The 14,600-nt window shown below is 37.5% G+C and overlaps 1 annotated feature.

Moving 5' to 3' along the window:
* Nucleotides 3,794–4,993: an enhancer, noted in NCBI's record as "CDK7 strongly-dependent group 2 enhancer chr1:115800386-115801585 (GRCh37/hg19 assembly coordinates)". NCBI's record gives its function as "activates an origin of replication core promoter dependent on BRD2, BRD4, P300/CBP, MED14 and CDK7 cofactors, with strong dependence on CDK7, by STARR-seq in HCT116 cells {active_cell/tissue: HCT116}" and the evidence as "EXISTENCE:reporter gene assay evidence [ECO:0000049][PMID:35650434]".

Below are 14,600 nucleotides of genomic sequence, written 5' to 3'. Positions count from 1 at the left end.
GCAAAGCAGCCCCAGAGAATTCATTCTGACCTGTGGCTGGAAAACAGGGTGCCTTGGTTAATTCTTTGTAACTAACATACTGAAAATTTTGTTCACAAGTCTGTCTTTTCTGCAGGAATAAGATCTCTCTTGCAATCAGTTACCACACACTTAGCAGATATTAGCCCATAAAAGATAAAAACTCAAAAAATGAATGTGGAATGACAATATATTTTAACTCATCTGTGGAACATTAATTAACCAGGATTACTGTATGCAGTTATCTGAACCGTTCTTTCTGTTCCTGCTCAAAGCCAAGTGGAAGATACACACATTCTATGCCAGCCAGTTCCTACCAAGTTCCTCCTCAATACTCTCTTCTAAGTTGCCTCCCGAAGAACAGGGGCCAACTAGAGCATCACGCTCGCTAGGGCATTGAGATTTACGTAACAGACTTTGCAACTACCCCTCTCTGTAAGTGTGTTCCCCAAGAAGCTGCCATAATATGAGGTTTTCTACACACACAAAAAGCATTGTGGCGCGGGAGGTGGTGAGTATGGCCTGTCTCCATCCTTGCCATGGCCAGACCTGTTAATTGCCTTACAATTATCCTCAAGTCATTTCATATGGGTCAAATTATTTCCCACTCTAGATGTTAAGCTTCCTGAAGATGTGGGCCTTGTTTTTCTGTTGAAATGTATTATCAGGACCAGGAACACAGAAGCCTTAATTAAATATATGCTAAAATAAGAGAAATAGGGGCAGAGAAAAGGCCCACATGGGTGGAAACAAAGAGTTGGGTCGGGGGTGGGTATTCTCCTTTGTGGTAGAATCAGTTGTCTGTGGCCCTGGATTTCAATAGCACAGGAGTTCTGGTCATTTCCATGAAGAAGTTAGGGTCAGACCATGGAATTAAAACTGTTCTTTACATAAGCACAAAAATCTTTTAAAATATTTAATTGAAATGGATTGCCACATTTGTTGAAAACGGTTCTTCACTTTAAAAAAGCAGCTTCAGACAGCCTGTTTAGATTTCCAAAACATCTGTGCCTATAATGCTTGGAAACTCACACTCCAGTGCATAGAAGCTGTCTCCAATAGGTCTGTTGCCAAGCTGCTTAGAAAATAACTAAAGAAGAAGAATCAAACAAACTCTCCAAGTAAGTGTTCCCTTTCTACAGCATGCACACTTGCTTGGTTTTGCTTTTATTTTATTTTCTCACAAAATGGCTTTGTTTGCAAGGCCTTCTTCATGCTGTAAAAAGAGATGGGCTAGAGGTGAGTGGACTGTGGTGTGACAATGGGTGGCAGCCTCTCTCACTGCCCCCTTTCCAGTAATCAGTAGACCAACTCCCAAATGCTCCTGTGCATTTTCCCCCAGACATAACATAAACTCATGAGAATTTTTCTTCAAAGAAAATTCTCCCAAACCTACCAGACCCACAGAATGGCAAATCTCAGAGTCAGCAGGGGCCTTAGAGGGCATATACAAAGACACCCCTCCCCATGCAGGGATTTTCTTGTCACCAGGCTGGCCTGGCTAGGGGCATCTCACCTCTGTGGGGGGCCCTCCAATAACAGGAGCTCACCACTTCCCGGGAAGTCCAGGTCTCTTATTCATGGTCACTTCTCTACATTCACCCAAATTGCTTCCCTGTAACTCAAATCATCAGACCTGCTCTACCCTGTGAAGCTTCAAAGGATAAATCAAATAAATCCCTCTTTTCCATGGCAGACATTCAAATATGTTAAAAGAATTGTCAGGCCTCCTTGGAGTCTTCCCTTCTTGGGGCTAAATAGTCCCCATTTTCTGATACCAGCCTGCACGTGATGGGATTGTGGGGCCATTCCCTAGTCATTCACGCAGCCCCACCTGATATGCTCCCACTTGAAGATAGCTTGCAGACAGGCAGGACACTCCCTCAAAGGAATGAAATCCTCTGAATGTGGTCTGCTGAGTACAGAAAACACTCAAACCATCACTTCCCTTAACCTTTGTTCTTTAGAAAACCAGAAAATTATAGCATTCTGTGGTTTACCTGTGGGTTTCCCTCATGTCCCCCTCCAGGTATTAACTGCTTTTAACTCACCTTCACCCTATCCTGGACTTTGTAGATTTGTTGAGGCATAGAGCTGACCTTGAAATTTTTTTAGAGCTTTACCTCTGAAATGTTTATCTTCACAATTTAAATGCTTCATTTAGCCTGTTGAAATCTTTTTGTACCTTGACTTTGTCATCTAATATGTCATCCATCCCTCCCATCTTTGGGAAGAAAGTGGCTTGTGTGTCTTAATCCAAGCCCAAGATTTAAAAAAAAAAAAAAAAGTGTGTATTCATTAGGTTCCAGAACAGAATATACAATAATTACCAACATTTATTTTTTTATTGTTTACCATGGGCAAGCACTATTAAATGCTTCTCATGAATTTACACATTTAATCTTCATATCAATACTAACATGTAGGTATCATTAGTATCCCTCATTTATTGATGAGGAAACTGAAGCATGGAGAGGTTAAGCAACTTGCCCACAGTCATCCAGCTAGTAAATGGCAGAGGCAGGATTTGAGGCCAGGCAGTCCAACTTCAGAGCCTTTGGTCTTAGCCACTTTTCTACATTGCCCCTACTTGCAGACATCAAGAGACTTCCCTCCACCTTGACAGCAGCAGTCCAACAATCAATGTTCTTTAGGAATAACTGTGATGACCAGCTAAAAGGCCAATATTTATACTATAATTTAACCTATTTTCTTTCATCCTTCCATAAATATATTATAAGAAACTCTATCACATGCTTTCCTGAAGTCAAAATGTACTGTCTATAGCATTACCTGGATATGCAGGTTCAATCACTTGTCAAAGAAAATGAGTTTAGTTTGGAATGATTTGTTCTTAGAGAACTTGTGCATATGCTGGTACTTGCCTGCTTTCTGGCCCTTTAAGCCTGCCTAGCTTGCCCCACATCACTACCCCCAGCTGTTCCTGGTTATTGCAGAGGGCTATTCTTGCTTATTCTAGTTTAGTCCATTCTTGCTCCAAAACCCTCCACTGTCTAGTCCAATTCCTTGGTGTTCGATTGCCACCTTTGATCCTTTCTTCTCACATGGTGTATCTATATGTTTTTTATTTTATTTTATTTTATTTTAAAGTTCCAGGGCACATCTGCAAGCTTGTTGCATAGGTAAACGTGTGCCATGGTGGTTTGCTGTGCCTACCAACCCATCACCTAGGTATTAAGCCCAGCATACATTATCTTGATGCTCCTCCTCCCTGCTTTCCCCGTAAGTATGTTTTATAAAACATTCTTTCCACCAGATAATAGGTTTTGGGTTTTTTTAAGGAGCATTCTTGGGTTAAATAAAATTAAACTATTTTATTTACTGCAGAGCCTTTCGTATGCTAATGTGCATTGTGAATCTCTGTTTAGAGTGACATTCTAGAAAGAATTTCAAATTAGTTGGCCAGGGAATCTGTGCTGTCTCTCCCTCTCTCTCTCTTACTCTCACTCTCACTCTTTCTCATTCTTTTTCACACACACACACACACACACACACACACACCCTGTGTAGAGATATTAGGAGTATGTTATATAATATGGGTATATTTGGACACCAATAACTACTTCCTTGTCTAAATGCACACAAATCACCTGTTTGTGAATGTGTTCTAGAATTCTGTCAAGGAAACAGAGAAATCTAACCAAGCAGTATTAGAATCTATATTTTCCTATTTTCTGAAAGAACACAATATTTGTCTCCATTTGAGTGGGAATAAACTCCTATGCATCTTTTTAAGTCCTCTAGGTACATTTTTACTAAGCCTGGAAGTTTGAACTGCGAGTGACTAAGTGATCTCTTATTTCTTCTTTCCTAAATCAGGCCTCAATGTCCCCTTAACAGTCTCTATGCTTCCCTTTGTAGATTGATTTTTTTTCTTGCTCTCATTTCATGCGTTGCTCAAACATCATGTTCTCAAGAAATAAAGACTTTGCTGACCACCTTATTTTAATTTTCAACATCCTCCCAATGGGTTCTTCTTGCCTGCTGCACAGATAAAACCAATTTACTGAGATAGCAGTCTTGCAATAGAGAAAGAGTTTAATAAATGCAGAACTAGCCAAGTGATAGAACAGAAGTTTATTCCTGAAATCAGCCTCCCCAAGAACTCAGAGGATAGGGTTTTTATGGATAATCTGGTGGGCAGGGGGCTACAGAATGGGTACTGCTGATTGGTTAGGGATGAAATCATAGGGGTGTGGAAAACGGTCCTTGTGTGCTGAGTCACCCTCTGGGTGGGGGCCATGGGAGCAGTTGAGTCATGAGTCACAGGTCTGGATGAAGTCAGTCAGTTGCCAGAATGTGAAAGTCTGAAAAAACAATCTTAGGTTCTACAACAGTGTTGTTATCTATAGGAGAAATGGGGAAAGTCACAAATCTTGTGACTTCTGGCCGTGAGCAGTAAGGGATTATAGAAAAGCAAGCTGGAGAACAATGGCTGGTTATCGTTTAACTATGCCTACATCTTAGCAGAATTTGGGCCCCTCCCATAATCCTAGTCTTGTCAGCTGTTATTAGTTTTACAGAGGCAGTTTCAGTCTCCAAACAAGGAGGGGTTCGGTTTTAGGGAGGGACTATTATCATCCTTACTTCAAAGTTAAACTCTAAATTCCTTGCACTAAGGCAAGTGAGCATAGTACCAGGGTCTTGAGCAGAACTCAGCAGGATGGAGCGAGAAGTTGCTTGGCTGTCTCATCTCATTAGCACAACAGAGTGGAAGTGCTAGTGTGGTGGGTTAGACAAAGCAAGGAAGAGAGTCTTCCAGTGCCTAGAGCTACTTGCTACAGAAATTTTAGGCAGAGGCAGCAGTGAGTTCTATTCCTCTCATCAGCCTTGTAGTAGAAGCAAAAAGTGCATCACTATGGAGCAGGAGTGGAATTTCTAAGATTTGAGATCCTAAGAGAGAGGCAGACCATACCATTAGTTCTTTGGTCTAGCCAAATTCCTTAGATTTGATGACTCTTCAGAATCCCTCCTACTCCTTAAGATGTGGAAGAGCCAAAGGCTGTGTTGTGGTCTGAATTTTTTCCCCAAAAAATTAATATGCTGAAGTCCTAACCCCAGTACCACAGAATGTGACTACATTTGGAGATAGGGTCTTTAAAGAAGAAACTAAATTAACATGAGGTCATTCACTAGGGTAGATCCTAATCCAATAAAACTGGCATCCTTGTAAGAAGAGGAAATTAGGATACAGATAGATACAGAGGAAAGACCACCTGAAGACACAGGGAGAAGATGACCATCTACAAGCCAAAGAGAGAGGCCTCAGAGTAAACCAACCCTGCCAAAAACTTGATCTCAGACTTCTAGCCTCCAGACCTGAAACAACACATTTCTGTTGCTTAAGCCACCCAGTATATGGAACTTGTGATGGCAGCCCTAGCAAACTAATACAGGCTTTCTTCTCTTAGAAGAGTACTCCCCAACCTTGACTGCATATTCTAATCACTTGGAGAGCTTTGTGTCTGGGTCTCACTCCAAAACAAATCAGAACTTCTGGAGTGGGATCAAGCATTGATATTTTTATCAGGGTTGTGAAGCACTGCCCTAGATGGCTCTAGATTTACAGTACCACCCCTTATTACACACTGATTTTCATTTAGGGTGGAAGAAGGAAGCCAGGGACATGCCTCCTAGGGCAATAAAGATACTTTGACAGACTCCCTGGTTGAGAGTTGCTGCCCTAGCATCTGGCAAATAGCGGATATCAGACTCTTTATACCATGGCCTCACCATTATTGAACACTTAATTTTTCTTCATCCTTAGTAAGAGTACATCTTTAGAAATTATTTTTTCGAGAAGGTATAAGTAGGTATATTTTCTGAGTCCTTGCACGTCAGAAAATAGCTTTCTTTTACCTTCACACATGGAAGAAAACTTGGCTGTGAAAATGCACTTGAGTCACAGCTTTTTGGTGTTTACATACATATACATTGCTCCACTATCTTCTGGTAATTAATGTTGAAGAGTATACATCTAAGGACAGCTTGATCTCAGTTCATTTGCAGTATATTGTTTTTTCATATTGTCACTTGGGTAATTCTTTTTTTATTCTGTAATTCAAAATTTTGGTCAGAAAAATCTAGCCAACAATCTCTTTTCATTGATTTTTTTCCCCTGGAACACATTAAATCTTTGTAATCTATATACATCAGTCCTTGTTCAGAGCAGAAAAAGGTTATTCTATTTTTTCTATTGCAACCTTAATTATTTCTTCTGCTCATTTTTCCCTGGACTCTTCAGAAGCATCAGTTATCCAAATGTTAGAGGTTTTACTGGTAATTAATTCATTCAAAAAATATTTACTGAGTGTTACAGCATCCACTATTGATTGCCTATGTAAAAGCCATTTCCCCCTTCCTAAACGCTCATGGAACCTCGATTTTTTTCCCAGTATTTGTTCCTCTTTCAAATGACTTAGGTTAATCCTGCTTGATATAGGCTAATCATGATGTCTCTGTAAATTTTGTCAATTACTGATTTAGGGAGTAGTTTAGGTGGTGGTTTACGGACTCAGTTTTGGCCAATCATGAGAGAAAGTCTCCTGAGGGGCTTTTGGAACATCTGTGTTAATTTCATAAAAGAGACACAAGAAAAAGCCAGTTCTTTTTTGTTTCTGGATACTCATCAGGGACCAGGGAATGTAGCCAACTTGTCAATAATGGCAGTGTGAAAAGGTGTAGAGAATCTGAGTTCCTAATGATGTCACTGAGCCACTCGATCAATCTTGGGCCCACAATACCTCTGAAATTCATGATATATAAGATTAAAAAATCCTATTGTTGTCTAAGCTAGGGTTTGGCAACTTTTCATAAACATTGTGCCCTTTACAGGCCATATTTTCTCTGTAGCAACTCCTCAACTCTGCCATGGCAGCATAAAAGCAGCCATAGACAAGACATAAAGGAGTGGCTGTGTACCAATAAAACATTGTCTTAGTCCATTCGGGCTGCTATAACAAAATAGCATCCATAGACTGGATGGCTTATAAACACCAAAAATTTATTTGTCACAGTTCTGGAGGCTGAGAAGTTCAAAATCAAGGTACTAGCAGACTTGTTTCCTGGTGAGGGCCCAATTCCTAGCTCATAAACAGCTAGCTCTCTTTTTGCTATAGCCTCACATGGCAGAAGGGGTGAGGATCTCTCTAAGGTCTCTTCTATAAGGGCACTAATCCTGTTCATGAGGGCTCCACCTTCAAGACCTAATCAGCTCCCAAAGCCCCACCTACTAATACCATCATCTTGGATTTCAACATATGAATTTTGGGAGGCAATAAACATTCAGTACATTGAAAACAACATTTACACAACAAGCAACAGCCTGGATTTGACCTGTGGGTTGTGGTTTGCTGAACACTGGTCTAAAATATTTTGACTAGGAATTTCTGCTAGACGCAACTGACTCTACCCTGAAGGATGCAAATACTGTGTTGCAAACCCTGCCTATACTCTGGGCAATACATCATGAATCAGATAGAGTTTATGAATATTACAGACTAACCTCCAAGGCAGGAGAGGGAGAAAAGCAAGCAGGTAATCACACCAGAATGTGGTAAGTACTCCAATAGGGTAATGCAGGTTGCTGTGGGAACACAAGAGAAAGGCACCAACCCTAGTTCTGGAGATGTCCAGGAAGGATTGAAAGAAACAACTGGACCCATCCAGATCGTTCATCTTCTCACATCAGTTTTATGTCTTTGTCTCTTTTGTCTGTCTTTTGGAAAATCTGAAGTTTGTTCTTCACATTATTGATTCAATTTTCAAAACTATAAAATCATCTTCTTATTGTTTCCAATATGGATTTAAATTCCACTATTGTATATTAATTTTCCATAATTAAAAAAATTATCTCAGCCCCTCCAAATTGATTCTATGCTCTTTATTTCGTTTCTCAGCCTGCTGATTTTTCATCCCAGCCTGTTGTCTCCTTAGAATTTTCTGCTACTTTTTTATACAAACTACGTCTTCTTGCATTTCACTGAAAATCCCCAATAATTTGCTAGTTTTATTCTGAACCTTTCAGTATATCATTTTCAGAGGAATGTTCTTTCATTCTTCAAATAAAATACATTGTACCATATATTAATATATAGTATGTGTAATTTATGTCTACTATATAAAAGTATTTATTAAATAAGTACACATGCAGGCACCTCTTTCTTTTTTTTTTTTTTTTTTTTTTTTTTTTTTTTTTTTTGAGACGGAGTCTCGCTCTGTCGCCCAGGCTGGAGTGCAGTGGCGGGATCTCGGCTCACTGCAAGCTCCGCCTCCCGGGTTCACGCCATTCTCCTGCCTCAGCCTCCCAAGTAGCTGGGACTACAGGCGCCCGCCACTACGCCCGGCTAATTTTTTTGTATTTTTAGTAGAGACGGGGTTTCACCGTTTTAGCCGGGATGGTCTCGATCTCCTGACCTCGTGATCCGCCCGCCTCGGCCACCTCTTTCTTTTAAACATAGAATATGATAATGTCTTAGTCTGTTCCTGCTGCTATAACAAAACGTCTTAGACTGGGCAACTTATAAACAACAGAATTTATTGTTCACAGTTCTGGAGGAAGTTCAAGATCAAGGTGCCAGCAGATCTGGTGTCTGGGAAGGACCTGTTCCTCATAGATGGTGACTTCTATGTGTCCTTACATGGCAGAAAGGGCAAACAGTGTCCCTCACTTTCATAATGGTATTAATCCTATTCATGGGGCTCTGCCTTTATCACTTAATCACCACCTAAAAGCCTTACCTATTAATACTATCACATTAGAAATTAAGTTCCAACATATGAATTTTGAGGGAACAACAACATTTAGGTCATAGCAATCAGTGTATTTGAAAGTCCATGTAAGCCTTTCCCCTTATCCCTGACCCTGAAATAACTGAAATTGCTGTTAATTATGCTCTTGCTTTCCATTATATGTTTACCATAATTAATATATCCCCCAAAATAAGTTTGTTTGCCTTTTTAGATTTATATAAATTGAATCATACTACATGTATTCTTTCATAATTTTTTATCAATATGAGGTTCACCTCTATTAGTGTGTATAATTGTCATTCACTCATTTTTACTTTTGTGTAATATTTCATTACATAAGTGTACTATGATTTATTTACCCATTCTAGTGTTGATGGACTGGCATTATTTCCATTTTTGCTGTTGCAAACAATGCTGCAATCATAGTCTTGTTCATGTTTCCTGGGGCACCTGTGCAAGTTCTCTAGGAAAGATACTTTGGTGTAGAATTCCTATATCACAGGACATTCACGTCTTCAACAATACCAAGGAATGCCAAATGGTTTTCCCACATGCTTAAGGCAATTTATACTCCAGCCAGCAGTGTAGGAATATTTTTTTTGTTCCACATTCTCCAAATACTTAGTATTGTAAGATTTGTTAGTTTTTGAAAATATAGAAGATATAAGTGCTACCCAATTGTGATATTACTTATGTAGTTGAACATCTTTTCACATTTATTAACCAGTCCTATTTCTTCTCTGCGAAAGGCTTGTTCATATGTTTGGCCCATGTTTCTTTTTCTTATTAATTCACAGAGTTTTGTTCTATAATAGATATTAATTATTTATTAGTTAATATGTTGCAACTATTTTCTAACAATTTGGGGCTTATCTCTTTTCTTTATGGTGTCTTTTGAAAGAAAGAAGTTTTTGATTATGATGCAGTCAAATTTATAATCTAATTTTATAAGGATTTCCTCATATGAATATTGTTTAAGGCATTCTTTCCCACTCCCAAAATTAAAAGCTATTTTCTATATTTTTCATTAAACATTTTGTAGTTTTCCTTTTTCAGTGGAATCCTTACACTTATTTAGAATGTGTGTCTGTGGCAGGGATCCAGTTTTTCCCCCACATAGACGAGCAGTTGTCTTAATGTCATCTGTTAAATGGTTAGTCTTTTCCCAGCTTATCGTCAATGCCAGCTCTTCCTGTAATGGCTTTCATCAGTTATGTATGCGTCTGTCTTTGGGCTCTATTCTGTTCCATTGGGCTTTCTTCCTATCTCTGCACTCAAACCACACTTTTAATTATGATAGCTTGAAATAAGACTTGATTTGGTAGAGCAAGTCTTCCTATCTAACATTTTTCTCTGGGAGTATATTGTGTACTGCATTTTGATCATCCATATAAACTTTAAAAATAGTCAAATTCTTCACAATCTTACTTCAGAATTTTATTAGAATTATATTGAACCTGTGGATTGATTTGGGGAAAATTAATAACTTTTACAATGGTCAGTCTTCCTGTCTGTGACCATGATATGTCTGTATTTATTTAGGTTGTCTTTAATATCTTTCAGTAAATTTTTATACCTCTCTCCATAAAAATCTTGCATATGTTTTTTAAAATCTATTCCTAGGGGCCAGCCTTTTTGAGGGGGAGTGATATTACAAATTCTTTTTTGACTAGGAGGTAGGAAATCCTTCCCTACTCCAAATATTCTCTTCCACGTGGAGGGAGCTTCACCCCTGAAACAATCCTGGTTGTCTCTGCCCCTCACTCACTCTGGCCCTGGGGGAGAAGAAGCAACATAATCTGATTAATGATTTGAAGGGATAAACTTGGCTTTCATGCCCAGGCATTTCCTCTTTCCTTCCTCTTAGGAGCTGCTCTGTCTATGAGAATATGTGGTCTTGATTACTCTAAGCCATGCAGAAAACCTAACAGAAACAACCCCTCCTTTACAGGAGATGCAGAAACACCAGCATCTGGTGTTCATATGCTGCTGGTGACTCACTGGATAAGGCTGTCTGGTTCTGGAATTCAGGATTATGAATCTCTCTTTTGCATAAATATTAGCGACATTCTCCAAAATCAATGTTTTTGGTAATAAAAGTATTTCAGCCTCTATCTACCTGTTCTTTTTTTTTCAGTTTTATTTAGGTAAGATTGATAAATAAAAATTCTATATATTTATGGTATAAAATGTGACATTTTAGTATATGTATACATTGTCAAATGATTACTACAATCAAGCTAATTAACATATCCATCACATCACGTGGTTACCATTGTGTGTGTGTCTGTGTGTGTATGTGTGAGTGGTAAGAACACTTAAGATGTATTCTTTTAGCAAATTTCATGTACATGACACATTATTAGTAACTATACTCACCACGTTTCCTGCATTAGGTCTCCAGTACTTATTTAACTTATAACTGAAGGTTTGTATCCTTTAATGAATACCTCCTCTTTTCCCCCACCCTACAGCTCCTGGTAACCACCATTCTACTCTCTGTCACTATGAGCTCAAATTATTTTTAGTTTCCACATGTTAAGTGAGGTCATGCAGTATTTGTCTTTCTGTGTCTGGCTTATTTCACTTAGCATAATGTCCTCAAGCTTCATCCATGTTGTTACAAACAGTACAATATCTTTTTTTTTTTTTTTTTTTTTTTGAGACAGAGTCTTGCTCTGTCTTCAGGCTGGAGTACAGTGGCACGATCTCAGCTCAGTGCAACCTCCACCTCCCAGGTTCAAATGATTCTCCTGCCTCAGCCTCCTGAGTAGCTGGGACTACAGGCACGTGCCACCGCACCTGGCTAATTTTTGTATTTTTAGTAGAGACAGGGTTTCACCATGTTGGCCAGGATGGTCTTGATCTCTTGACCTCTTGGCCGAGGGTGATCCACCCGCCTCGGCCTCCCAAAATGCTGGGATTACAGGCGTGAGCCACCACGCCCAGCCAACAATATATTTTTTTCAAGGCTGAAGTGTGTGTGTGTGTGTGTGTGTGTGTGTGTGATTTTCTTTATCCAGTCATCTATTGATGGACACTTAGGTTGTTTCCATATGTTGGCTGTTGTGAATAATGCTGCAAAGAACATGAAAGGGCAGATATATCTTCAAGATACTGATTTATTTCCTTTGGATAGATACCCAGAAGTGGGATTGCTGGATTATAAGGTAGTTCTATATTTAATTTTTCGAGGAATGTTACTGTTCTCATAATGGCTGTATCAATTTACATTCTCACTAACGGTATACAAGGGTTCACTTTTTTCCACATTCTCACCAACACATACTATCTTTTGACTTTTAACAATAGCCATCCTAACAGGTGTGACATGATATCTCACTGTGGCTTACATTTGGTTTCCCAGATAATTAGTGATATTGAGTTTATATACCTGTTGGCCATTTGTATGTTTTCTTTAAAAAAAAGTCTATTCAAGTCCTTTGTCCATTTTTAATCGGGTTATTTGTTTAGTTTTTCTGTATCTCTATGTTTTGTCTGGTTCAGAACTCAGGCTGGGAAAATAGATGCTATTAATTGGAATCCCTCAAACTCAATATAAATGTAAAATACTGCCATTATATAGACACACCATAGACTTTTCTATTTATATATAGACATTTGTATTTATACATTGATATCTGACAAACATGAATCTCTAAATTTTAGTTATTTATTTGCAGATTATTTTAGTTTTTTGTATTGAAAACCATATCTATAAACTACATTTTTATTTTTTTCATTTTTTTCCTATTCAAATCTTATAAATTTCATTTATAATTCTTGTTTTATTTGCTAGGTATATCATCTAGAAGAATGTTAAATAGAAGTGTGATAGTAGGCATTCTTATAAGACTTGCTTAGAAAACAGTCTGGGCATGGTGTTTTCTCTTTAGGAAGCTCTTTCAATACTTAATTCCTTAAAATGTTCATACAAACATTCATATTTTCTAATTTTTCTTGGATTAAGTTTGAAAACATTTTATAATGTTGAGTCCAGGAATTTTTCCCTTTCACCTATGTTTTCCAATTTTATTGGTATAAAGTTTTTCATTATACCCTCTTGTCTTTTAAATATTTCCTGTTTCTATAGATATGTTATGATCTATATATGACATACCTCCTTCTTTTCTTCATCAATCTTATAATTGATTTTATAATTTTTATCAGTGTCTCCACTCGGGCTTCATTGATCTTTTATCTTAGTTTTTTAATGCATTAATTTCTGTTCCTATCTTCTTGATTTCCCTTATTCTACTTTATTTGACTTGGTTTTGTTTTTTTCTAACTTAATTTACTAATTATGACCTAACTTCTCTTCTAATGTAAACATTTGAGACTATAAATTTTCCTCTGGGTACAGCTTTAACCATACTTCAAAAGTTGCTATTTTATTGTTATTACTTTTTAAAAATGTTTAGCCATTTTACTATAAAATGAAAAACATATACATAAAACGGCATAAACAAATGTATAGACTAGTGAAATATTTTAGTCAACATTCCTGAACCATCACTATGGTAGAAAAAGAAAATAGAATTTTGCCAGCCACCCAGGAGCCCTCCATTTGTCTTGGCCCAATCTCAACCCCCTATTCCTACAAAAGTAACCATATCCTGATTTTTACGGTAATCACATAAGAATGTTTTTTAATGGCTTTTTCTCTCACCTAAGTATGCATCATTAGATACTATAGCATTCTGTCATGTCCATTTAAAAAATATTGTTAGTTAGGTCTTTAACATTTCTTTTACTCTACAGTTTTTCATCCATTTCTTTCTTTTTTCTTTTAATTTAGCTGTTGAAACCCAAGACTTTTGACTCCCAGAGTTTCCTACAGTCTGGATTTTGCTTATGGCATGCCCATAGTGGAGTTCAACACATTCCTCTGTTCCCTGGATTTTTTAAAAAATGGCAGCTGCATCTAGAGGCTCAATCAGATTTAGGCTTGATCTCTTTCACAATACTACAGGTGGTGTAACGTTTATTCATCAGGAGGCATACAATGCCTGGTTGTCTCTCTTCTTGTGATATTGTTGCTTATTGTCCAGATCCAATAATTAATTAGCAGTTGGATTATGGTGATATTTCTAATTTTATAATTTTGTTTTTATTTGTTAGCTGGGAGAACTTTATAAAGAAATTCTTCCCTCATTTTGCTACTTTGTTACTCAATAATTCAGTTCATTTAGGAAGGCAGAATAAATGCTTATTATTTCCTCTTACTAATTTTAAGATAACAAATTGATTTTCTATCATCACCCAATTAGTTCTTAAAATATCATTATAAACACAAGAATGTAAATATATTTCAATTTTCTTATTCTTATTGATTCTTTATCCCTTCTTTGGCCAAAAGGAGTCTCTTCAAGTTGGTTCCTTAGTCCTTTCGTTATGATTTTAATAGTCTTTGTTACTTTCTTTGCTATTTTGCATGACAAAATATTCTAGTCTAATCTAATACATTCCTTTGCCAAATGTTGAATCAGTCATTTCTCCAAAAAGCCCTGGTATCTTTTCGAAGGAAATGATAATTCAATATTACATTCTAGGTTCTAGCAATGTTCATTGATACTGGCCTAGTCTTTCTCTAGGCCTTTCAGTAGATATACATATATAAAAATTGTTTTTATCCTCAAGGACATGAAGGGTAATAGAATTAAAATATCCATTACTATTCATTTGCTTTAATCCACATTTCACACATATCTGTCTGAGCATAATACTACTACTGCCACCACCAATCATGATTGTAAAATATATTTGCATATGCTATTCCTATTCTAGCCCAATTTTTATGCTAATAGTAA

The sequence above is a fragment of the Homo sapiens genome, chromosome 1, assembly GCF_000001405.40.
Source record: "Homo sapiens chromosome 1, GRCh38.p14 Primary Assembly".
Lineage (NCBI taxonomy): Eukaryota > Metazoa > Chordata > Mammalia > Primates > Hominidae > Homo > Homo sapiens.
Note: the sequence above shows the minus strand (reverse complement) of the source record. Positions and strands in the feature narration are given on the sequence as shown.